Genomic DNA, 26,095 nt, shown 5'->3' with positions numbered 1-26,095 from the left:
TTCAGTCACCTATTTCCTAATTTATTCATGCTATAAATATGATTTATTCTACAAGTTAGGTATTTCAGAAAGCATTGCCTTGATTATTAAATGTAATACTACTAAGTCTGTCTCCTGCATATTATGATTTTTAATTGATTGCACATTATTTTTTAAATTTTATTTCATCAAAAATAAAATCATTCCTTTTGAATATATAAAATCAGCTCACAACTAGTTATCTCTGCCTGCAAGTGCTTTTCATCTATGGCATTAGCTAGTTACCTAAGTGGCTCTGGATCACTTGATACATTCCATTTTAAAACTTTAATCATGTTTTTAGACAATATCCTAAAATACGGATATTTCCAACAAATTTTATTTTCTAGATTTAGGAAATGCTGTGACAGTGTTCTTTAACATACTACCCATATCAAAAGAGATAAGATTTTTATGCATGGCTTTTCTTTTCTACAGACAATAGCTTTTTAAATAATAATCTGGAAATTTACCCTGCTGACTGCCTTAGTCATAAGGTATATTATTGGCATAATATATTTTTCAGAAGAGGCATTCAATTAGTTTTTAGATTAAAAAAATGTTAAGGGAAATAATAAATGACCATGCCAATCCTTTCTATTTTCAAATAGCTGTATTGTGATTTGGGACAGTTCTGTGGACTCATAGTTAAAAGTTCCCATTTCTTTCTTTCTAGCTACACCTACATGCACACACACATACAAACATTCATATGCAAACACACATATAAACACACACAAATACAACAATATATATTCAGAGATAGCTCTTTCCCACTCTATGTATGCATGTGTGTATACAAGCATATATGCATACACATGAAAAACTAAAACTGAATTTGATAGAAGCATGAATATACATTATTGAACAAAGGAGACAGGATGGTGGAATTAAAAGGGTTTCATCTCAGTGCTTTCCTAAGTATAAAATGCATATATTTATAATTTTTACTTATCGCAGGGTAAACATAAAACTGATTCATTAAAACATGATCTTTTTTAAGAATTCAAAGGACATAGAATGTTGTGAAATCTAGTATTTTTACTTAAGTGCCTTTTTTCTTTCTAATTCCACCTCCCAATCTCTTATTTTATAAACCAGTTGATACTTAAGTGGTTACTCGGCAGATGATATATCACTTACACATTTTCTATGTAGTAAACATTCATGTGTATATATATATATAATTTTATATTATATAAAATATAATTTTATATTATATAAAAATATTTTTATATAATATATATTATATTATATAAAAATATATATATTATATATATATATATATATATATAAATTCATCCAACTACTTTGTTGGAATGATTCCTATGGATTGAAACTGCCAGGGCAAAGAATATGCAAAATCTATATTTTGACTAAATTTCTCATGACAGGAGTAAATTTTCCCAGTATTTGAGAATTCCTCATTTCCTACAGCCATACAAACATTAGGTATCAATATTTGTAAGCATTGATAATATAATTTATAATGAAATTGCCTTTTATCTATTAACATTAGGCTATATCATCTTTACATAACCTTATAAGTCATTTGTGCTATTTCATTTTCCTCTTTTTCTTTTTCATTTCCCTTGTAAAGTTAATCTCTTTGTTACTAAGAGCTCATTTATGATTAAGGATGTTAACATTTTGTCAAGCATTTTAAATATTATGTTTCTCCCATTATTTTACTGTGGTGTTTTATTTTTTGGCTGTACAGAAATTATATATTGAAATATAATCGTGTTCTGTTCTTTAAAAACATGAATATACTTCAAATGGTAATCGATGGATTAAAGTCTTGCATTTTAAATATTATAAGCCACATTCAATGATTTGTTTGATTAATCAGACAATGTTCTTTGGCTTTATCACTTCTCTTTCTCTCGCTCTGCACAGCATATTTGTTCTGCATTTGCACTGCCTCTTAAGATATCAGTTGTAAAGTTACATTCCAACTCTACAGGCACACAGAATGAGAGAAGTAGAGCCTACACAACTGCAATGACTGTAATTTTATAATTTTGGCTGTCATGATCCTGTCTTGAAACCATAATTAATGCAATAGATTTGTTAGTTTCTCTCAGGGGTAAAAAGAAAGATCTAATTGAAACCTTGTAAAGCAGCTTCATAAGTGAAATGGAAAGGGTATTTGCCTTTTATCTCCCAGCCCCACCTTGACATAGTCACAGATTATTAATGTTTCATAAAAATGTTGTAAATCTTTATGTTAGTATCACTACAACTGGTGAATTTAGGTCAGTAACGACAACTGCATCTTTAATTGCTAATGTTTAATAGCATTTCATTTCTGGAATCGCAAGCTATAGATTCTGAAAATGACTCTACAGTTGGTCATAGCCATTTTATAATTCTCAAGAAGTTTTGCACCAGCATATATAAATTTAAGACAAAAGAAATATTTCATATTCTAATAAAGTAGCAAGTTGATTCATAAAAAATAGCAGTGACATCTAGATAAAATAATAAGCACACTCCTCCTTCTCCCACACTGACTGGTATCACCCTTTGAACACTGTGAATACGGCATGTTGAAATCTTAGTTTTAGATACGAAAAATACTATCTTCTCCTTTTCCTCTTCCTCCTTTTCCTCTTCTTCCTCATTTCCTTGTTCCTCCTCTTCTCCTGATGCTGCTGCAAAATAGGACAACCTGAATTCTGAGCTATGCTTATATTGTCTAATTGAAAAAGTATTACCTGTTATCGGCTGACTTATGGCACTGATTTAAATCTCTCATCATCAAATAATTCCATGAAGTTACTCTAGGATGTATTTACTCAACAAATATTTACTGAACACCTACTATGTGCCTAACTTTAATATTCATGATGACTAGGCTTAGTATATGAGACAGACTTAGCTTTTCTCTTTATGGAGCTTATCTTCATAATCACAGTTTAAAAAAAAGTTGACTGATAAGTATTTGGTTATTAACTTATAGCTTAACCTCAAAGGGACTAAGTGTCCAGTGCCAGTATATCAAGTGACTATTAAGGATATTATTGGTGCTACTAATTATAAATTGGGAATTATCAACCTATCAAATAATGAAGTTGTATAGGCACAATATAAATCCACCATATGATAGCAATGACAAAAATTAGGCCTACAGCCTAATCAGAATTCAGAGACATGAATTCAGAGATGACAAGTAAGTTACAAAAAGAGGTGACCAAGACTCCAAGTACCAAATTCTGTTGTTCCAGTATCTCATCCTCAGCTCACAGCTATGACTTCATATGGAATTCCTTATGTCCAGCCTGTGGACGTAAATCTGGCCCAGATTTATGAAGAGGCTAGTTACTATAAACCAATGTATTGATACCAGCCAAAAATAGAAATGGCTTCAGAAAACAGCATTGAGGGAAAATCTTACTAATGGACAGAATTTTGAACAAAGCTTTAGGTTATCACTTTGACGTAGAAGAAGACGCTTGCACTGAGGGTATTAATAAATTTTGGGGCAGAGATGAAAGACCTAGTTTCTTCGTCAAGAACCAGCTGGGTGCGGTGGCTCATGCCTGTAATCCCAGCACTTTGGGAGGCCGAGGTGGACAGATCACAAGGTCAGGAGATCGGGACCATCCTGGCCAACATGGTGAAACCCCGTCTCTACTAAAAATACAAAAAAATTAGCTGGGCGTGGTGGCACATGCCCGTAGTCCCAGCTACTTGGGAGGCTGAGGTAGGAGAATCACTTGAACCCAGGAGGCAGAGGTTGCTGTGAACTGAGATTGCACCACTGCACTCCAGCCTTATGAGAGAATGAGACTCAGTCAAAAAGAAAAAAAAAAACAGTACAGAGTAAGACTGGAAGAGCAGACATTTGAAGAAAAGTATGCAGATTTTACTATGAGAAAGTAAATAAAATGTGAGGATTTTTGTGTCTCATGGCGGTGCCCACCAACATTCATCACAGAGAAAGCACAGACAACTAGGTTAGAAAGACTCATCTAACAGTGGCTAGCCACCCTTTGACTTCAGCCACTCCAGTGCTTGCATATAATCCCACAATTGTAGTTGCCAGCATTGGAGAAAGTCAGGCCACAAGTGGGACCTTCACTATGGGCTCCTTCTCACTAAGCGGCCAGTGCTGCTACTGAATGTGTGACCAGTCAGAAATTTAGACCAACACTGACCCCTTGATATGACACTGGTTATTAATTTATTGTCTGTAAACTCCTAGTTCACCTTTCTTTGACCTGATCTGTGATACTGGCCCTTAATCCCGTGAACATTTCTCCTTTGCCAGCTGGTGCAATGTTAAGCTTTGTCAACAGGGGGCAATGGAAGGACATTGAAAGGTTATAGTAAGAGGAAGGGGCTTCTCTCCTTGGTACTGGTGTACTTTTGTTTTCCTGTGATGTAGCTACTAGGAAATTAGTGTGCCAGAGACCTAGTGGCAAACACTCTGTAGTAATTTTTTGACCACCCCACACGACTTTTCTACCCAACAATCCAAGCCCACATGTTCCAGCAAACTTCTTCCCCACTGATCTTTTGCATATTTTTGGGGTAGCAACACTCTTTCTAATAAGATCTGATTCTCAGGCTGGGGGATGGTGTCTCTTCTAAGTTCTTATTCCTTCCTTGTTCTTGCTCTCTCAGTCTTACATGTACAACACTCTTTCACTCCTGTTAGTAGTTAATAATACCTTACATTAATTTTTCTTGTTTAAATTGTTGCTATGATTTCTATGTCCTGACTGGATCCAGATTAATACGCATGCCATCCCCTCAAGGAAACCAACCAGGTACTTTTTGGCTAATTGACTACAACTAGCTGCCTTCCATGGTGGCAGAACAATGATTCATCTTTACTGAGATTCTTGCATTTTCTAGATGAAGGTTGTGTTTCTATTTTTCAGTGTCTTGGACAATAACACTCTCTGAAGGCAGTCAGAGAAAAAATACACATGACAAGTTAGGCAAGGAAGACTTTATTCAACACTATTGCAATAGATGAAAGAGATTGGACTCAACTCTAGTAAAACAAAAGACAGGAGAGTTTTTAAGCACTGTGGTGAGCTGGTGGAAAGTACTAGACATTTTAGTGGGAAAGTGGGTCAGTATGATCAGCCCCTCTGTGTTTGCTAATTGGTGATTAGTTTACTGAAGTTAGGTTCCAACCCTCCCACAGAGACTAGGAGATTGGAGCACTATCTTCTTTGATGATTGTATTTCAAAAGGATGACTCCCAGGACCTCAAAGTCCTGGACTGTAAACCTTGCAAGAGGCTGGAGAAAATTTACATCTGTTTTCCAATGTAAATTTTCTAAGAAAAGAAAGGTGAGGAGTCTGTGGTCAGGAAAAAACCTAACTGTCAAAAGTTTAGTCAAGTTTTGATCAGGGTTCACAGAATAACTGATTTATTGTCATTGGATCCCATACCATGTCACCTTGGATCAAAGAGCTCCTTTTACAGAAAAGGAAGTGAGCACGGGATCCTCCAGTCCCCCCATATCCCTCATCACTTAGAAGCTGCTAGACTAATAGAATATTAAAATGGCCTCTTAAATGTATAGCAGAATACCAGCTTGTAGTTGATGCCATTCGTTGAGTTCTGTGATTCAAGATGTGGAGTCTAGTTGAAGCCATGGCCATTACATGATTTTATAGGCCTGATAAATAGAATAAATAGATCTTGGAAACAGTGGTTCTTCTCATCACACTTCCAGGGATCCACATAAGGAATTTGTACTTCCTGTAACTATAACTTTAAGCTCTGCTGGAGGGGGTCCTGGTATCCAGGGGGAATTCCAATAAATAGATGACATAGTAAAAGTTCCACAAAACCTAATTGTTGGACTGCTGCCTAATTATCTGACGCTTCTCCTGCCAAAAGACCAGCAAGCAAAACAAACAAAGTTACTATATTAGCAAGAATAATAGAACTTGATTATCATCAAGAGCTAGGAATGCTACTACCTGATGGGGTTAAGAAGAATTATGTCTAAACTTTAAGATAGTCCTTGGGGAATCTCCTGGTGTTACTGTCATGCGCGTCCATGTGAAGAGAGTCCACCAAACAGGCTTTGTGTGAGCAACAAGGCTGTTTATTTCACCTGGGCGCAGGTGGGCTGAGTCCAAAAAAGGAGTCAGCAAAGGGTGGTGGGATTATCATTAGTTCTTATAGATTTGGGATAGGCGTACAAAGTACATTCTCAAGGGTGGGGAAAATATTACAAAGTACCTTCTTAAGGGCAGGGGAGAATATATCGTATCAGTTAGGGTGGGGCAGGAACAAATCACAATGGTGGAATGTCATCAGTTAAGGCTATTTTCACTTCTTTTGTGGATCTTCAGTTGCTTCAGGCCATCTGGATGTATACGTGCATGTCACAGGGGATACGATGGCTTAGCTTAGACTCAGAGGCCTGACAGTTACCATGTTGAGTGATATCTGTTAATGGGTAATTATAGAAAGCATGGCCTTACAAGGGCATGCTATTCTTTCTTTCTTAAGTTACCATGTTGAGTGATATCTGTTAATGGGTAATTATAGCAAGGATGGCCTTATAAGGATATGCTATCCAGTGGCACAGACTTCTGAATGATTAAATTCTATATTTATCTACTGGATAGGCAACCCATAACAGTGAGAGGGCTGGTTGAGAATGAAGGGAATGTAAAATTGGAGAAAGAGGTGGAGAAATACTAAATATAAATTTCAGCTTCAGAATCAATGAAGCAGTGCTGACTATAGTCCCACCTCTTCTATTGTGTTTTTTTCAGTGAAACACTGACCAACTGCCACATGAAGAAACAGTGATAGATTAAACTTAATACCAGACAAGCGGGGATCTGGTTAGGGCAAGGAGTAAACTGTAGCAGAAGCTCTTGGTGCCCCATCCATATCTCTACAGCCCTTATCATTTAAGTGCATAATAATTAGTAATTACTTTGGAGGGCAGGTACAGATAAAAAGGCATAATGAGGGCTTTTGGTGGGTTGAAAATGTTCTCTTTTTAGATCCAGGTATTGGTTGCACAGGGGTGTTCAGTTTGTGAAAATTTAATAAACTTATGTGCATGTGTGTGTCTGTACAAAATTAAGGAAAGCAGAATGGAGTTAAAATCAGAAATATTGTTCTAGAAGTTATCAGGTTTAACCAGGTTTTACAAACAGCCAATTTTGTTATTTAAATAATCAAAATATTTCCTTTAACATTTATCATGATTTCAACTGAAATACTTTATTACAGCCAGGAAACTGATTTCTATTGTATCATTATTTCTTAGGTAGTTCTGTTGTATTTAAAACTCTAATGTCCATACAATAGCGTCAGAATGCTTTTTTTTAAAACTCAGTTAAAATGCATGCCAGGCTTGACAGGTTATGATTCAAAACATTAAATGTATCCTTCAAATTAATTTCTGTGATATTACTTTGAAATGCTTTAAAACTGGCTTTCGACTTTTTAATTTCATTACATAAATCAAAACAGTCAATATTTCTTGGATACTTACATTCTCATTATATCCCCTTTCTTCTTCCTTCTTCTTTGGACTATTTTTTTTAATTCAGAAAAAAAAAAATCTTATCTTTATACCTTAACATCAGATGGTAAACCATTTTATTTAATATTCAGCCTGGTTAGAGATTTGAATGGCTATAATAGTTGGGGAGAGGTGGTAATAGTAGAGACTGGAAGATGCCTTTTTTCAGTTTAATATCAAGGTCATGTTGTTATTATCAAACTTGGTTGCATAAGGCAATTTTTTATGTTCATAAACTCTATTTTGATAAATCGATCCACTCATTCAACATTTATAGAAACAAAACTATTACAACCAAATAGGTGGATCCTGCTCTCAGAGAACTCATTGTCTAGCTACATTTTGGGATAGTGTGTCCTGAACCCCATTAGGGTGTAGCATAAGCTTGACAAAGGTAATCTAACCAGCCTTATTTTTCTATTCTCGGTCAATATTCTGTCTCTATACACAGACTAAAGATAAGTATGGAATGAGAGTTCCTACATATAGGTTATATGGTAAAATTTGTGGAATATGCAAAGAGATAAATGAGATGTATTTGCTTTACAGCATTCACCAGGGCTTAGAAGACCCTGTGGCACCTGAAAGTGAATGTGCAATTGGATTGGAGTTATGCTGCAACAATTAGCTGCTCAATTGTGTGTTTATTACATATACCAAGATCACTTAAATAACACTACAGGTAAGACTTGAAGATTTAACCTAAACTATATTCTCTCACAACAATTTGTGAACTGACTAGTTAAGGAAGAATAGAAGTGAAAGCTGCTGAGAATTGGAAACAATGATTTCATTCTTCCCTTTCAATCTTCTAGTTAAGTGTTTCTCATTTGCTGGTGAATACCCCAGTGTGAATGCTTCCAGGAGAATTACTTTCTGACTGCCAAACTGAGTCATTATTTTGAATAGCTTTACCTTGCTAAAATGTTTTAATTTACATCTAGAATGTTCCTACTACTGAAGTTGCCCCAAGGCTAGTCAGAAGAGGGCTGTAAGAGTTTCAGAATTTAAGTATTTCTCAAAAACATCACAAACCGAAACCTGAGAACTATAGAAAATATGTAATGCCTTTTTAGGCAAAATTCATCCCAAAGAATTTTTACAGGATTGAAATTCACCAGATAATTGTTTCTTTTTCAACAATGAATAAAACAGATGAAACAGCTAAAGAATAATCTTAAAATTAAACTCTAACTAAGCTATATGACTCTTCTTTCTTATTTAGTGTATTCTCCCCGAATTTAATGTCAAAACACTAAAAAAATTATTGTAGAATTATTGACCCAATTTGTCCTATCAAGATAATTTGTTGACTCTTTAGTAACTAAATTGGCTCAACCATACCAAAAACATGTTAGTTTCTCTGTCATTATGAAACCTAAAACCATTGAATTAGCCCACAGAGTCTTATTCAGCATAGACTTGCCTAAAGCCCATATTGATTAACAGCTACATTACATGTAAACAGTTTTGCCCTGTGGATAGTGAGTTACTCTAAGGAGGACTGTGATATTTTATCAAAAGTTAAGAGCATACAAAAGACTATTTGCAATATATGCCCAGTGGTTCTCAACTGATACAACTTTACACCTCCAGTGCTCTCACTCATGGACATTTGACAATATCTGGAGACATTTTAGGTTGTTGCAACTGGTTAGCATCTAGTGGATAGAAGCCAGGAATCTTGCTAAATATCCTACAGTATAAGGACAGTCCCCCACAACAAAGAATTATCTAGTTCAAAAGGCAATAATGCCAAGGTTTAAAAAACCCTGTTATATACCTCTTGTTGAAGATGTTTTATTTGGATTATAAACATACAAGTAATAATTTATATATTTGCTCCTATGCTTTCAACTTTTAGGTGACATATTTTATTTAAGCAAATGCAGAATATTTAATGAGCTTGAATAAAATTGTTTCTTAAAATGGAGAATATTTATTAAACCACTTAAGTTCAAAAAGGCAATTAAAAAACACAAGGTTTAGGCAAATAGAAATGAGTGATATTTATATCCGAAGCTTTCTTGGAAAAGCGACCAGGCATAAGCTAACTGGAAGGATATTGAGAAGATTAATTTGATATGCTTTGTGAAATAGTTTCTTAACTCCTCTTGGAAAAGCTGCCCCCATGTAAGGAGATATAAAGGTGATGATCTCCAGCACTATTCCCTAGAAGCAGAGAGTGTAGCTTAGGTGAAAGCAAATGCTTGACTTCCACTTTCTTCATTTCAACAAATAAATTAAGGATCTACTGGAAAAACAATCTAAAGACTTGATAGAATTAAAAGAAAAAAAAACAAAGAAAAAACAGAAGGGGAACGAAAGGAAGGAAGGAAGGGAGGGAGGGAAGGAGGGAGGGAGGGAGGGAAAGAAGAGAAAGAAAATTTTTTTTAAAAAAAGGAAAGGAAAGGAAAAAAGTGAGAGAAACAAGGAAGTCCCAACCGTTAATGTTAAGTCTCTGTTAGTGAGAGACAGGACTAGCTGGATTTCCTAGGTCGACTAAGAATCCCTAAGCCTAGCTGGGAAGGTGATCGCATCAACCTTTAAACACGGGGCTTGCAACTGAGCTCACACCTGACCAATCAGAGAGCTCACCAAATGCTAATTAGGCAAAAACAGGAGGTAAAGAAATAGCCAATCATCTATTGCCTGAGAGCACAGCGGTAGGGACAATGATCAGGATATAAACCCAGGCATTCGAGCCAGCAACGGCAACCCCATTTGGGTCCCCTCCTTGTATGGGAGCTCTGTTTTCACCCTGTTTCACTCTATTAAATCTTGCAACTGCAAGATTTAATACTCTACTGGTACGTGTTTGTTACAGCTCGAACTGAGCTTTCGCTGGCAGTGCACCACTGCTGTTTTGACGCCGTGGCAGACACTCTGCTGACTTCCATCCCTCTGGATCCAGCAGGGTGCCCACTGTGCTCCTAATCCAGCGAGGCGCCCATTGCTGCTCCACATCAAGTTAAAGGCTTGCCATTGTTCCTGCAGGCCTAAGTGCCTGGGTTCGTCCTAATCGAGTTGAACACTAGTCACTGGGGTCCATGGTTCCCTTCCGCGACCCACGACTTCTAATAGAGTTATAACACTCACCACATGGCGCAAGATTCCATTCCTTGGAATCCATGAGACCAAGAACCCCAGGTCAGAGAATACGACTCTTGCCACCATCTTGGAAGTGGCCCACCACCATCTTGGGAGCTCTGGAAGCAAGGACCCCCGGTAACATTAGGGACAGTACTTGAGAAATCTACCTTATGGCTGTGGTTCTGTGTTGTATTCTGTACTTGCTTCTCTCTACCTTATGACTTAAATGAACTAACCTTGAAAGCAGATGAGTCTTTTGTATAAAAGACTAGAAAATGGATTGGAAGAGAAAGTTGTAAATAAATTCCTAATTGTAAAAAGGCAGTTAGTTACCTTTTTACAGTAATCCAAAAATGACTGTGAATTACAAGCATTTTGAATTTGGAGAAAGCTCATTTTATAATTTAAGGTAAGCAATATAGCTCTATATTTTAAATGTAATTTTAATAGTATAGATAAATCCTATATAATTATTCCATTAACCTCGGTAAATATTTTGACTTTATCCTGCAACTCAGTAGCTGAATAAAAATATACCCTCAGGACCTCATTTACTTGCTATACCTGTCTCATTTACAAGCCAATTAATTTATATTTTCAGCATTACAATTACAAGCCTCCATTAATGCCCCCACATAATTACAGTAATAGCTTTCTAAATTCAAATTATTCTGAAACTCTAAAATTCTGTAATTTGATATAAACCAGGAAGTACATGTTAATAAAACATATGACATGAGCCCAAATAGGTACTATTATATATTTTTATAATCCAAATGGAACAACTTAATTGTTATCAAAAAACTATACAATTAGTATTCTATATTTGGTTTCTCAAAAAAAAAAAAATGATACTCAAATGTGTATGTTCTACTTTCTGGATCACTGCCTTGCCCATAGTAAAAGTTCAATGAGCATGTTCTATTCTAATGAGGCAAATTGCTATCTGTTCTCAAAATCAGACTTGTCTTCTTCCTGGGCACATGGCTGTATTACACGTAGCCATATAATGGAGATCTACTTACTGGAATGTGAGGAAAAGAGAAATGTGCATTTCCAGTCCTGGCCTGTGAAAACCTCCCCAGGCGTGCTCCTCCTTGTTTGTTTCCCTTTCAGTTGGAAGGAATGGAGATGATCCCTGGGTAACTAGATCCTCTAATCTCTTCCTGCAGGACTGACTGTGAACACCTACTTGGGTCTAATACATTGAGTGAGGAATGAACTTGTTAGAGTGCAAGTCATGAAGAGTGAGAGCTTTTCTGCTTTTATCTGTAAAAGCAGCCAGTATTATCCTAGCACATTCTGACAATACAGAGAAATCATGAAAATAAGCTTTTTGGGAAATATATGTGTGTATGCTCACACATACATATATATACATGCACATATAATGAAACACACTCATAAGCATACACATATGTTTTGATAACTTTCTTCAACAGATATTCTCCCTTTTTTTTTTTTGTTTGAGACAGACTCTCACTCCGTCGCCCAGGCTGGATTGCAGTGGCACAATCTCGGCTCACTGCAAGCTCTGCCTCCCACGTTCACGCCATTCTCCTGCCTCAGCCTCCCAGTAGCTGGGACTACAGGCGCCTGCCACCACGCCCGGCTAATTTTTTTTGTATTTTTAGTAGAGGCGGGTTTCACCCTGTTAGCCAGGATGGTCTCGATCTCCTGATCTTGTGATCCGCCTGCCTCGGCCTCCCAAAGTGCTGGGATTATAGGCGTGAGCCACCGCGCCTGGCCAACAGATATTCTTTTTATGGAATTTTTTATTACTCACTGTGAGAAGTTTAACAAATCTCAAATCTAAAATCAACGAGCTAAGGCTTAAAATCCTTTTTCACCTTTTTCTCCTTTCCATCATGAGTTCTCAAAAACTCTTGTTCACATAAATCTTGGACTGACATAGGAAGCAAAGATTCCTATTAAATCATTACACTGTTCTTTCTGCTCTGATTTTCCTTCATTCCTAATGACTCAAATTCTAGCAATTCCACTTGGTTTCACGTTTTATTTCGACTTTATCATTGCAGTCCTTGACTTTTCTGCCATTAGTATTCAAGAATCATAAAACTTTTACCACAAAAGTACTAAGCATTTGACTTGTTCTAAATATTACATAAACCTGGACTACATTCATTTTGAATGTTCTCTTTTGATTAGATCAATAGGCAATATTTCAGACTACTAACCTGATATTCACTTTTATACAGCCTTTTTTTTTTTACATTTGAAGCAACTGAACTGAACACAGTGATTGTGTCTTTCTTTTATTGTCTCAGAACTGTTAACCCAAGTAGTGTGTATAAAAATATAGGTAAGAATTTAAAAATTATATGCATCTGGTGACATTTCTCTTCATGATGTGAACATTGCTGCATGTTCTTTTCCACTATGATAGCTTTTACAAGGTACACCATGTCATTGGCCTTTTCTTTCAGTGAGAAGCTTGCCTTGTTCACAAAAGGCTGACAGCTCCACTCCAACTAGTGAGATTTTAAAGGAGCTTGTGACAGCGTGGCTAAGCCAGGCTTCACAATGGGTCGTCTTTGCAGTGTTAACATGAAAAGTCAGAGAGTGAAAGGAAGATTGAATAGAGTCCCAGATAAAAGGAAAATAAAGACCTAAGGACCTGTCACATAACACTTATTTTCTGAGTAAAAGTAACTAAGATATAATAAAGAATAATAGCTTTGAAGTCAGAAAGACCTAGATTCACATATTTTACCCTCTGTCAGTTTCAGTATCTTCACCTTAAAAAGGGGGGGGATACAAATATCAGCATAATAGAGCTATTAGGAAGATAAAGTGAAAAAATATGTGTAAACAGTTCAATTCTGCATCTGTCTCCCAGAAGGACTAACATTTATAGAAACTTCTTATGTGCCAAGCACTGCTCTAGACACAGGCAAAAATCCCTGCCCTATAGGACATTCATTCTAGTGGGAGAAATTGAGATCAATTCAAAAGACAATTAAAATGTATAGTATATTAGATGATGAGAGTGGGAAGGGGATAAAAAATGCAAGGAAGAGGGACAGGAAGGATCATATGTAGAATAATAGATAGGATGGCTCGAAGAATCAGCACAATTTCATGAAAAGGTGACATTCCAGTAAAGTGAATGAGTGAGCCAGGTAGACTCTTGAGGACAAGCATTCTAAAGATAAGAAAAAGCAAATGCATAAAAACTAAGGCAGACGCAAATGGCTCATCCCTGGAACAATGAGGAAGCACTAGCTCATGCACAGTGAGGGAAGGTAAAATTAGTGTAAAATGAATGTCAGAAATATCATATATGACCCTGTAGGTCTTCCTCAATGGTGATTTTTATTCTGATGGAGAAGACATGCCTGAAGTGTATTGAGCAGAAGAGTGACAAGATCTGACTAACCTGGTAAGATTACTCTGGCTGTTGTTTTGAGAATACTTGGAGCGGAGATAAGTAGTGAAGCTGATATATCAACTTATAAGCTTTTTACTAATCCAGGTAAGAGATGAAGGTAGCTTGATCTGCAGTGGTGGCAGTACAGATGAGAAGAAGTGGTTAAATTTTGTATATAACTTGAAGACAAAGTGGGCAAGATGATCTGAGTGATTGGACTGGGAGTGTGAGAGGCAGAAAGGGGTCAATGATGACTCCAAGGTTTTATATGAACAATTGGAAAAATATTACGTTCTTTTTGTCTTTTTCTCCTTTTCCTTTTTCTTTCTTATAGTTTGAGGCTTATCGTTTGACAACAACAAATGATCAGTTTATCTTCTAGAAAGTAGATTGTCAACAATTTATAAATGAAGAGTCTGCTAGTCAGTGATAAGCAAAGGACTCTGTGTGGGAACTGGAGGGAAGAAAGACCCTCAATCATGTTCTAAGGCCAGTATTTAAGAAATATTCATAAATATGTTTTAAAAAATTTTCCAGGAGTCAAATGATACAATGTTAATGGAAGGAATTCATTCTTTGTCTGCTCAAAAATCCATTTGACAATACTTCTGTCTATATTCAGGCTCCAGTTTTTGTAGGTTAAATTGTAACAACATTTGTTGGCATACTCATTCTCCAAACACCATTCTTAGTACTCTATTGGGTGTAGTAGATCGCCCAGGGTCTCCAGCTTGCAGGCAGACCACTGTGGGACTTCTTAGCCTCCAGAACTGGTATAAGCCAGTTTCCCTAATTCATCTTCTCTCAAATATCTATCCATCTCTCTGTATATATCCTACTGTTTCTATCTTTCTGAAGAACCCTAATGCTTGTTCCTTGTGTATTAATATGTATTAGTATGTATTATTACTCATACATGCTCCAGGTTTAGTATGTTTTTTTATTTAAAAAAATTCATAAGATTGAAGGCTGCATTATTGATTTGCCATCTTTCTTCTTTTTAAAAATAGGCCTGTAAAATCTCCTTCTGAGCACTGCTTCAGCTGCATTCTATAAATTTTTGTATAATTTGTTTTCATTTTCATTTATAATTTCATTGAAAACAAAAACAAAACACATCATATAGTATAACCATTCCAACTCTCTTTTGGGCATTTTATGAATGGTACATCTTTTTTAATCCTTACTTATTTGTGTCTTTGAAAGTAAATTTTGTTTCATTTATCCAACATCTAGTTGGATCATATGTTTTTTAAACTAATCTTCCAATCTCTGCCTTTTGATTGAAATGTTTAGTTCATTCATTTTAAGTCTCATTACTGGTTAGGTAGGATTTATTTATGCCAAATTGGTACGTGTATATTTTATTTCTTTTTTTCTGTTTTCTTCCATTACTTCTTTCTTTTGTTTTAAATAGACATATTCTAGTATATCATTTTTATTTCCATGTTGTTTTCTTTACTTCCTATTTTTGGATTATTTCATAGTGATTGCCCTGGGAATTACATTTGCAACTTAACTTAAAACAATCTACTTCATATAACATCAACTTAGTTTCAACAGTATACAATTTTTTCCTCATTAACTCTATAACTTTCTTCCTTCCATGTGTTATTATTACAATACAAATTATATCTGTATACATTATAAACCCATCCCTAAATAAAATCTAAATAAGTACTTATTTATAGTAAAGTGAACTTCAGGAGAGGTTTTGACCTCCGAAGCCATGGGGAATGTAATGAACTCTCCGAAACTAATTTGGTCTAGTATGTCCCAAAGACGACAACGGATTTTTAGTTTGACTCAAAGTACATTAAAAATCACCACATAACCTAAAAGTTATCATCAAGGTCCAGAAAATTCCACTGGACGTTAGGAAAAGGGAATGTTAAATTGAAACCATGCAAGAAAATTTCCACCGTTTGACCCACTCACAAGTGGGCAATTCTTTCTCTGAAACAAAACAGACTTGTAGTAAACCCCATAAGCCATCCATACAATAAATGTTTACTATGTGTCTACTTATTGGCTACTGGGAAGTAAGAATGCAGTTTCTCTTCTCAAAGAAGTCGCAAGCAAGTGTAGAAAATGTTGAGAAAAAAAAAAATCAAGTTCTTAAGTATAACAAATGTAGGTGATGTGAAAAGGATAGCACAGGACACAATGTGTACAAAGAATAGTCCCCTAACTCCCTGAGCTCGGTGAGGGCAGGCAGGGATCACTGCTAATAAGAAGTAACACAGAAGCCAAATCTTTAAGGATAAACAAGAAAAGGAAAAAAGCAGAAAAATGCATTATTGTCAAAAAGCAGTCCTACATTCAAGGAGTCATGAGATAAAATGAAGTGCCTGGGGGAAACTTTGAGAAGCTTAGTTTGAATGAACAGAGGAGAATTGGGACTTCTTAAAGAGCGATAACACTGGAAATGTGTGGAAGAGTCCAAACCACACACTATCCAAGGACAATCCACTGTCTGACATACTCAACTTTTTAACTGTGTTTTTCTCTCACAATCCACAAGTGGAAATACAAACAATAAAAACAAGGTTGAAACTGAATAATAATAGAATATTTTAAAGCACAGTCTTTTTACTTTGTTTCTTAATTTAGTTCATGATTTTATTCTGGAGTATTGCATTTTCCTTTTGCTGACATTTAAGCAAACAAATGTAAGAAAACTCCAGTAAGTATTAGTGAAATTTACGTAAATTAGTGATCAAAGCCCAATGAAATACAGAAAGTTGAGGCTCAGGGGACTAAAATAGGGGCCAGTAAAGTCACATCGAAGGTATTTTGTTTGAGTCTGTGAAAGACAAAGTCAACAGAGACTCTCACTTCACAGCCCCTCTGCTCTTCCAATGTTACACTCCATATTATACATTAGATGAATTTTTTGTAGCATTTTGCAGTTTCTGTATCTGATAGGTACAGAATTTCATAAATAATTGAAGTCCACTCAAATATTACTACTTGTGAATGCATTTTTAACTATTTCCATTTTAGAAATGGACAAATATGCCTCCTGGTGGCAAACTGCAGGTGCATTTCAATTGTAGCTTGCACTTTACAGACATGACAAGGGTAAAGCCAATGTCAAAATTGTCCCTGAAGCATCAACTCTTCAATAACTTTCCCATAATAATGTGAACAGAAGGTTAGAACTCAAGGAAGATGCTACACTTGACATGAGGAAAATCAGACGCCACAACCATGAAGCTATGACCATTTTTGCAAACCAACTAAAGAAACATTATAAAGTATCTACCAATAAAAAGCCTGAAAATTGGCCAGGCGCAGTGGCTCACGCCTGTAATCCCAGCACTTTGGGAGGCTGAGGCGGGCAGATTACGAGGTCAGGAGATCGAGACCATCCTGGCTAACACGGTGAAACCCCGTCTCTACTAAAAAAAAAAAAAAAAAAAAATATGCCGGGCATGGTATGCACCTGTAGTCCCAGTTACTTGGGAGGCTGAGGCAGGAGAATGGCGTGAACCTGGGAGGTGGAGCTTGTAGTGAGCCGAGATCGTGCCACTGCACTCCAGCCTGGGCGACAGAGCAAGACTCCATCTCAAAAAAAAAGCATGAAAATTGTTAGGATTCCTAAGAAGACTTTGGAGATATTCAGTAGTTACTTACAAAATTTGGGATAGAGTGCCTTTGGTTTAAGATCCTTGTTTTTCTTTTAAGAGACTCAAAATTGCACTATAACGTGGATTCTTCTAAATCTGCACAATAATTTGAGAAATACTGACAACATTCTTGGTATGACTAAAAAGTGACAGAGTAAGGAAATCGTTTTACTTGGCTAATAAAACTGGAATATAAAGAATAAGCTCCTACAATTATTCCTCCATTATATGTTCTTAAATTATGTTTTTTGAAACCTGCTTCCTATTTCTGTCTTTAATTCATGTAGTTGATCCCATTATACTCAAAATTGCAATATAAACACAAGATACATGAAGGGACATCTCTGAACCTGGTCACACCAAAGGATGAAGAGTTTGAAAATGTATTTTCTTAGCAAAAAGTTAGGTAATGTCTATTGCAAGATTATAGTCTTTCTGAAATGAATCTTAAATGACTGTCAGAATGTATTTTGGAAATATGCTTGTGCTAGTCCGTTCTCACACTGCTATGAAGAAATATCCAAGACTGGGTAATTTATACAGAAAAGACGTTTAATTGACTCACAGTTCCACATGGCTAGGAAGCCTCAGGAAACTCACAATCATGGCAAAGGCATCTCTCCAGAGGCCATCAGGAGAGACAATGAGTAACAGCAGCGGAAATGACAGACGCTTATAAAACCATCATATGTTGTGAGAACTCACTCACTATCATGAGAACAGCATGAGGGAAACCGTTCCCATGATTCAGTTACCTCCACCTGGTCCCGCCCTTGACACGTGGGGATTATGGGAACTGATTCAAGATGAGATTTGGTTGAGGACACAGCCAAACCATATCAGTGCTCAATGCCTCTACTTTAGATAACAATTAGAATAAGTTAATCCATTCTGTATACTCCAATCCAACTCCTGCCATAGCTCTGGAAAGATTTAAACATAATGAAGAATACGTTTTAACTAATATAAATAATTCTCCTTATTAATCTTTAAATAAATATATGCTGTCAGCTGGATTCAGTGGCCGTTTGCTGTTTGTGAAAGCCAGAGATTAATAATTGCCTGCTAGAAAGAATAGATTTATTCTCTGGCCTTACTGGCAGAATAAAAATGTTAAAAGCTAAATGTTGAATTCATTGCTAACGATTAATTCCCCTGTATAATCCATGTGTTGTGGGCATGTTGTGAGGGCAAACGGTCAGCATTCATATTAATCTGAAATATCAGCTGTGTAAGTAACGTTAGCACTTGGCTCAAAATATCCCCAATATATACAAGGGATGGAGTAGAAGACAGAAGTGCATGATGGAGACAGGAACAACCCTCTAATTTAGCCACTTCTGCTATAATGTATAAGGAAAGTAAATGGTTTTGGATGGATTCTATTTAATCCCATACCTGTCAAAATTATTACCTGTCAGTTCTATACACACTACCTAACACTTGAAATGTGATGATTTTTATAGAAAAACAATGAGTATCACAGGATTTAATATAAAAATTATGTGACCAAAACAATCAAGATTTAATAAAAACTTAAGAAGGCTGGCTTGTAGCAGCATGTGTTAAATCATTTTGGAGTCATATGACTCTCTGAAACACATACAGTTAATTTATTACGAACAAAGCTGATGAAAGAGTCATCACTATAGGCCTTCCATACAATCTCCTGTACTCTGTTAGTAATACAATTTTAAGGTGCTGCTATACTAGAGAACAGGAATAGACCAGAACATGTATAGCTGTCTGTATTCTCTTTCTGTTTTTAAAATCTCCAGTGAAGGAATTACTGTTTAGAACAAAATTTTGCAAACTATGGCTCAAGGACCAAAGCTTTCCCACTGGCTGTTTTTGAAAATAGCTTTTTTTGAACACAGCCACACTAATTCATTTTATGTTTCATCTATAACTGCTTTTCCACTACAAATGTGGAGCTGAGTAGTTGCAGCAGAGACTTCATGGCCCAAAAAACCTAATATATTTATTATCTGGCCTATTTTGGAAAAAGTTTGTTGGCTGTAGTCTAGAACTTGTAGATAACATTGGATTTTACCTACCCTCCATCACTGCATCCACTGATAGTAATCAAGACCCAAGGAAGTTGAGGCCATAAACTTCAGTGAAGCATCTCTAAACTAGAAACTTCTGTGAGAGTCTCTCTAAGATAAAAACATTTCGTCTCTGCATTATTGATTGCCTACCATGGTTCTCATATCACATGATGTACCAGAATTAGAAGAGACAAGCATAGACTTGTATCATAGACTTATATGCTTGTAAAGAGGAGGTATATTCAACACATAATTACATAAATATTTACTCATTTTTAAAGTGGCATTTTGAAATGATTCAGTGCACAATAACCTTGTCTGGGTTGGGTTAAGGGGTAGTGACAGGAATGAAAATGATACCTGAAGAATGAGTAGACCAGAGTGGGAGTATGTCAAACAGGTCAGCATATGCAAGGACCTTAGTTAGGGAGAAGTTTGATAACTTCCAAGAAGAAAAGCCATATGATACACAGTCAAACCAAAAAGAAAAAGATGTATTAAAATAATATCTATAGAGATCTAAAATATTATCTCTAGAAATGTACCCACATCGTGAGATCCCCAGAGTTTTTAGCCTCTAAGAAAGAGTTTTACTGTAAAATCTCACTATGCATTCTTTTCTTTCTTTCTTTCTCTCTCTTTCTCTCTTTTTCTTTCTTTTTTTTTTTCTTTTTTTTTTTTTTTTTTTTTTTGACAGGGTCTCATTCTCATTCTGTTGCCCAAGGTCAAGTGCAGTGGCACCATCAGGGCTCACTGCAGCCTTGGCCTTCCTGGGCTCAGGTGATCCTTCTGCCTCAGCCTCCCAAGTAGAGTAGCTGGGACTTGGGACTACAGGCATGCACACCACACCCAGACAATTTTTGTATTTTTTTTTTTTTTTTTTGGTAGAGATTGGGGTCTTGCCATGTTACCCCGGCTGGTCTCGAACTCCTGTGGTCAAACAATCTGCCCACCTCGGCCTCCCAAACTGCTGGGATTACAGGCATGAGCCACCACTCCCAGCCACTATGCATTCAGAAAGATGAGAAATCGTGAAGTCATGACCACTCACCTCTAATACCAACCTGACAACGTCTCTAAGATAATTTATAAAGCGGTGTTGAAGTAAAGGGAATGGGCTTTGAGTGTCTGCTGGTAACATTGACCCACATGCTCTTGCAGTTGCTGCTTGGCAGAGATCTCTCTCTTTGCGGATTTAAAGTTAACAGAAGACCTTTGGGGACTGTGGAGAGGGAACTGGGCCTAAAATACCCCACTAAACTGCTTGATGAAAACTGGAGACTAATCTTACAAAAAGGAATCTTCCTGCCCAGTCCAGTTTCCAACCTCTAAGAAAAGTTGCAGAAATAAAAATATTCGCCATTGTACCTTGAACCAGTTGTCATTTTAGCACCCAACAGTTTTCCCCTTTCTACCTTCCGCAGATTAGTTACATGAAAAAGCTTGTTGAAATAGTTCAAAGGATGAGTTCATGAATCCAATCCCAGAAACCTGTGAGGAACAAAGGAATAAGAACTGTAGTAGTAATTCAAGCAACATGTCTTTAATCTTATCTGAACTGTCAGGTTAGGCAAGCTTATTTGCTGTACTTGGAAAGAGAGCTTCCAAAAGTGATTGCCTTCTTCAGGTATAATTCTCTCTTCACATTTGTTTAAAAGATAATGTTAAGTGAAATAAAACAGGTACAGAAAGACAAGTACCACATAATTTCACTTGCATGTGGAATCTAGAAAAGTTGATCTCATGGAGGTAGAGAGTAGAATGTTGGTTAACAGGGTCTGGGGCAGTGGTGATGGAGGGGGTAAGAAAGATGTTGGTCCAAAGACACAACATTTTTGTTAGCCAAAAGGAATAAATTCAAAAGATCTATTCTACAACAGAGTGACTACAGTTAATAACAATATATTATATTCCTGAAAAATGCTAAGATATTAGTAAGTGTTCTCACCACAAAAATGACAACTGTGATGTATTGGCTTTGTTTGGCCATTCTGCAAGGTATATGTGTTTCAGAATGTCATGTTTTATATGACAAATATATATAATTGTATCAATCTCTTTAAAAAAACAAATTTAATTTAAAAATACAGAAATATCCTAATTCAGATACATTTTATTTTCATATTGAATTCTCACAATTTTGGACTTTAATTACAGCTACTTTGAAAGAACTTGTCTATGTTATAACTGCATCATACCAATCTGGTTTAACTGTCATGTAGCAAAGTTGAAAGTTGTTTTTTTGGTCGCCAGGGACCTCCAAGTTGAAGATGACATGAGCTAAGCATGCCCAGATGAACCATGTGCAGAACCTAAGTGCTAGGACTGAGAAGCAGGGACTGAATTAAGAAAAAGTACAAGGCAAGAAGGTCAGGATCCAGTCAGATCATGCATTCTGGCATCACCTCATTGCAAGATCCAGTCAGATCATACTTCATTACACTATCCTCATAAACCCAACACATCCCCCAGCTTGGGTAGATGGATTTGAGCATTCCCTAGTCTTCTTTTCAGCTGCCTCACAATAAACCTTCCTCACTGCAAAATTCCAGTCTTTGTCTTTCTGTTGTTTGGGCAAATGGACCCAGTTTAGTTTGGTTACAATGTCATCTGATTTTATTCAACTATCCTGCATAATTCCTTTCATTATTTCCTTTGTCCTCCTTTTCCTCTTTGTCCCCATTTTCCCAAGTAACACTCTGTATTCTAGGAGTTACCATAGAAATATGTGAAAAGATGATATCTATTTTTTATCTTGCTGTACAGTTGAGAAAGGACTGCTGAATTCTGTTGGCTTCTCTTACAAGTTCTAAGAGAAAGTGGTCAGCCCTAGACTATGGAATGCTCTAGGTACATAAAAGGCAGCACTAGGAAATTCCAAATGCATGCCTTCCAGGGGCTCCTGAGACCCACTGGCAACTGTGTGGAAAAAATAGTGTTGTATGGCAGTGTTAAAATATATATATATATATATATATATATATATATATATATATATAAGAGATCATGGCGGACAGGAGGCAGGACTAGATTGCATCTCCTGACAGAGCACTGAATGGGGGCTCACATTGCAAATTTTAGCTCCAGATCGACTGCAAGAACAAACCAGCAACCCCAAGAGGAGCCACAGACCCTCTGAAGGAAGCGGATTGCTCCTGCACGACCCTGGAGACCCCCCAAAAGATGCGAGTGCCCCAACTGCAGAAGTGGGAAAGGAGACCCTCCTCTCCCAAACACACACACCCACTGGAGAAGCTGAAAGTCTGTTTGCAGGCAAAGTTTCTGACTTTACCTGGAGCTGAATCAATTTGGAGAGCCCAGCGAAACACAGGGATACAGGAAGCAGCAGAAAGGCCCTGGGAGCTCGCTGGGTCCCCTCGCAGGACATTCCTGCCTAGCACCACAGGGATCCAATGGGAGAGGAGCAGGGGGTAAAACTACAAGGGAGAAAGAAATCTGTAGCAGAACTTTGTAACAATTTGAATGCTGTTAGAAGCCTACTGGACAGAACTTGCGGGAGGGCACAAATCCAGTGTGCAGACTCCACAGATGAGAGAAGAACCAAGCCCTTTTCTTTCGCAGCTGGGAGGTGGAGAGCCTGGGACAGGGTTTCAAGTCCATATCGCTCTCTACCTGGAAACAGTCTGGGGGCCATTAAGGGTGGGGGGCATGGTGGAAGTGAGACCGGTCCTTCAGTTTGCGTGGGAGCTGGGTGAGGCCTGTGACTGCCAGCTTTCCCCTACTTCCCTGACAACCTGCATGACTCAGCAGAGGCAGCCATAATCCTAGGTACAAACTCTAGTGATCTGGGAATCTTACCCCCACCCCCGACAGCAGCTGCATCAAGACCTGCCCAAGGAGAGTCTGAGCTCAGACATGCCTAGACCCACCCCCACCTGATGGACCTTCCCTACTCACCCTGGTAGCAGAAGACAAAATGCATATAATCTTGGGAGTTTTAGGGCCCCACCCACCACCGGTTCCTCCCCATACTACCATGGCTGATGCTCTCTGGAAAGCACCACCTCCTGGCACGAGGCCAACCAGCACAAAAATAGAGCATTAAACCACCAAAGCTATGAACCCCCACGGAGTCCATTGCACACACCCCGCCCCCTGCCGGCCGCACCACCTCCACCAAAACAGATAGCTAGTATCAACGGCTAAGAGACCCATAGACTGTTCAAATCACAGGACTCTGTGCAGACAACCCCCAGTACCAGACTGAAGCCAGGTAGACTCACTGAGTGGGTAGATCTGGAAGAGAGACAATAATCACTGCAGTTTGGCTCACAGGAAGCCACATCCATAGGAAAAGGGGGAGAATACTACATCAAGGGAACACCTGTGGGACAAAAGAATCTGAACAACAGCCTTCAGCCCTAGACCTTCCCTGTGACAGAGCCTGCCCAAATGAGAAGGAACCATAAAACCAACCCTGGTAATATAACAAAATGAGGCTCTTCAACACCCCAAAACATCACACTAGTTCACCAGCAATGGATCCAAACCAAGAAGAAATCCCTGATTTACCCAAAAAAGAATTCAGGAGTTTAGTTATTAAACTAATCAGGGAGGGAGCAGAGAAAGGCAAAACCCAATGCATGGAAATGCAAAATATGTTACAAGAACTGAAGGGGGAAATAAGAAACTAGATGGCTTAAAAACAAATAAAAAATTCAGGAAACTTCACACACACTTTTACAAATGCAAAATGCTCTGGAAAGTCTCAGCAATAGAACTGAAGAAAGAATTTCAGGGTTCGAAGACAAGGTCTTTGAATTAACCCAATCCAACTAAGACAAAGAAAAAAAGAACAAGAAAGTATGAACAAAGCCTCCAAGAAGTCTGGGATTATGTTAAACAACCAAAACAAAGAATAATCAGTGTTCCTGAGGAAGAAGAGACTTCTAAAAGCTTGGAAAACATATTTGGGGGAACAATCAAGGAAAACTTCCCCAGCCTTGCTAGAGACCTAGACATCCAAATACAAGAAGCACAAAGAACACCTTGGAAATTCATCACAAAAAGATGAATTGGGACATTGTTATCAGGTTAGGGACAATAGGGACATTATCATCAGGAAAGAATCTTAAGAGCTGTGAGACAGAAGCAGCAGGTAACCTATAAAGGAAAACCTTTCAGATTAACAGTAGATTTCTCAGCAGAAACCCTACAAGCTGTAAGGGAATGGGGCCCTAGCTTCAGCCTCCTCAAACAAAACAATTATCAGCCAAGAATTTTGTATCTAGTGAACCTAAGCATCATATATGAAGGAAAGATACAGTCTTTTTCAAACAAACAAATGCTAACAAAATTTGCCATTACCAAGCCACCACTATGAGAACTGCTAAAAGGAGCTCTAAATCTTGAAACAAATCCTGGAAACACATCAAAATAGAACCTCTTTAAAGCATAAATTACACAGGATCTGTAAGACAAAAATACAAGTTAAAAAGCAAAAACAAAAAACAAAAAAACCAAAGTACACAGGCAGCAAAGAGCACAATGATTTCAAAGGTACCTCATACTTCAATATAACGTTGAATGTAAATGGCCTAAGTGGTCTACTTAAAAGATACAGAACAGCAGAATGGGTAAGAACTCACCAACCAAATATCTGCTGCCTGCAGGAGACCCATGTAGCACATCAGGACTCACATAAACTTAAAGAGGTGGAAAGAGGCATTTCATGCAAATGGACACCAAATGGGGGCAGAGGTAGCTATTCTTATATCAGTCAAAACAAGCTTTAAAGCAACAGAATTTAAAAGAGACAAAGAGGGACATTATATAATGGTAAAAGACCTTTTCCAAGAGGAAAATATCACAATCCTAAACATATATTCACCTAACACTGGAGGTCCCAAATTTATAAAACAATTACTAATAGACCTAAGAAATGACATAGCAACACAATAATAGTGGGGGACTTCAATACTGCACTCACAGCCCTAGACAGGTCATCAAGACAGAAAGTCAACAAAGAAACAATGGATTTAAACTATACCTTGGAATGAATGGACTTAACAGATAAATATAGAACATTTTATCCAACAACTGCAGAATACACAATCTATTCAACAGCATATGAAACTTTCTCCAAGATAGATCATATAACAGGCCATACAACGAGGCTCAATAAATTTAAGATAATTGAAATTATATCAAGCACTCTCTCAGACCGCAGTGGAATAAAACTGGAAAGCAACTGCAAAAGGAAATTTCAAAACCATGCAAAATATGGAAATTAAACAACCTGCTCCTAAATGAACATTGGGTCAAAAATAAAATCAAGATGAAAATTAAAACATTCTTCCAGCTGAATGACAATAATGACACAACCTATCAAAACCTCTGGGATGCAGCAAAGGCGGTGCTAACAGG

At 37.3% G+C, this 26,095-nt stretch overlaps 3 long non-coding RNA genes across 6 annotated transcripts in view; 1 reads left to right on the top strand and 2 right to left on the bottom strand.

Moving 5' to 3' along the window:
- Positions 1-4,966: 4,966 nt before the first annotated feature.
- LOC124907752 (uncharacterized) lies at positions 4,967-11,469 on the bottom strand. 2 transcript variants are annotated; one of them, XR_007086279.1, is made up of 2 exons: positions 10,641-11,469; positions 4,967-5,877 (listed from the first exon to the last, which is right to left on the bottom strand). It is a non-coding gene; the product is annotated as an uncharacterized LOC124907752 (long non-coding RNA). The 2 variants fall into 2 exon arrangements; XR_007086280.1 differs by lacking the exon at positions 10,641-11,469 and adding an exon at positions 5,971-5,988.
- Positions 5,731-26,095, top strand: part of LOC105374458 (uncharacterized) — a 33,938-nt gene continuing 13,573 nt past the window's right edge. Inside the window, exons 1-4 of one of the 3 annotated variants that reach the window (XR_007086278.1) lie at positions 5,731-6,117; positions 8,091-8,223; positions 13,951-14,037; positions 14,360-14,449. This is a non-coding gene — a long non-coding RNA (uncharacterized LOC105374458). Of the gene's footprint in view, positions 6,118-8,090; positions 8,224-13,950; positions 14,038-14,359; positions 14,450-26,095 lie in introns of those variants that run through there. The other 2 variants (XR_007086277.1, XR_002959378.2) reach the window with 2 other exon arrangements.
- Positions 20,635-26,095, bottom strand: part of LINC01320 (long intergenic non-protein coding RNA 1320) — a 45,007-nt gene continuing 39,546 nt past the window's right edge. The window contains exon 3 of the long non-coding RNA NR_126404.1: positions 20,635-21,199. This is a non-coding gene — a long non-coding RNA (long intergenic non-protein coding RNA 1320). The remainder of the gene's footprint in view (positions 21,200-26,095) is intronic.

Source organism: Homo sapiens, chromosome 2 (genome assembly GCF_000001405.40).
Source record: "Homo sapiens chromosome 2, GRCh38.p14 Primary Assembly".
NCBI lineage: Eukaryota > Metazoa > Chordata > Mammalia > Primates > Hominidae > Homo > Homo sapiens.
Note: the sequence above shows the minus strand (reverse complement) of the source record. Positions and strands in the feature narration are given on the sequence as shown.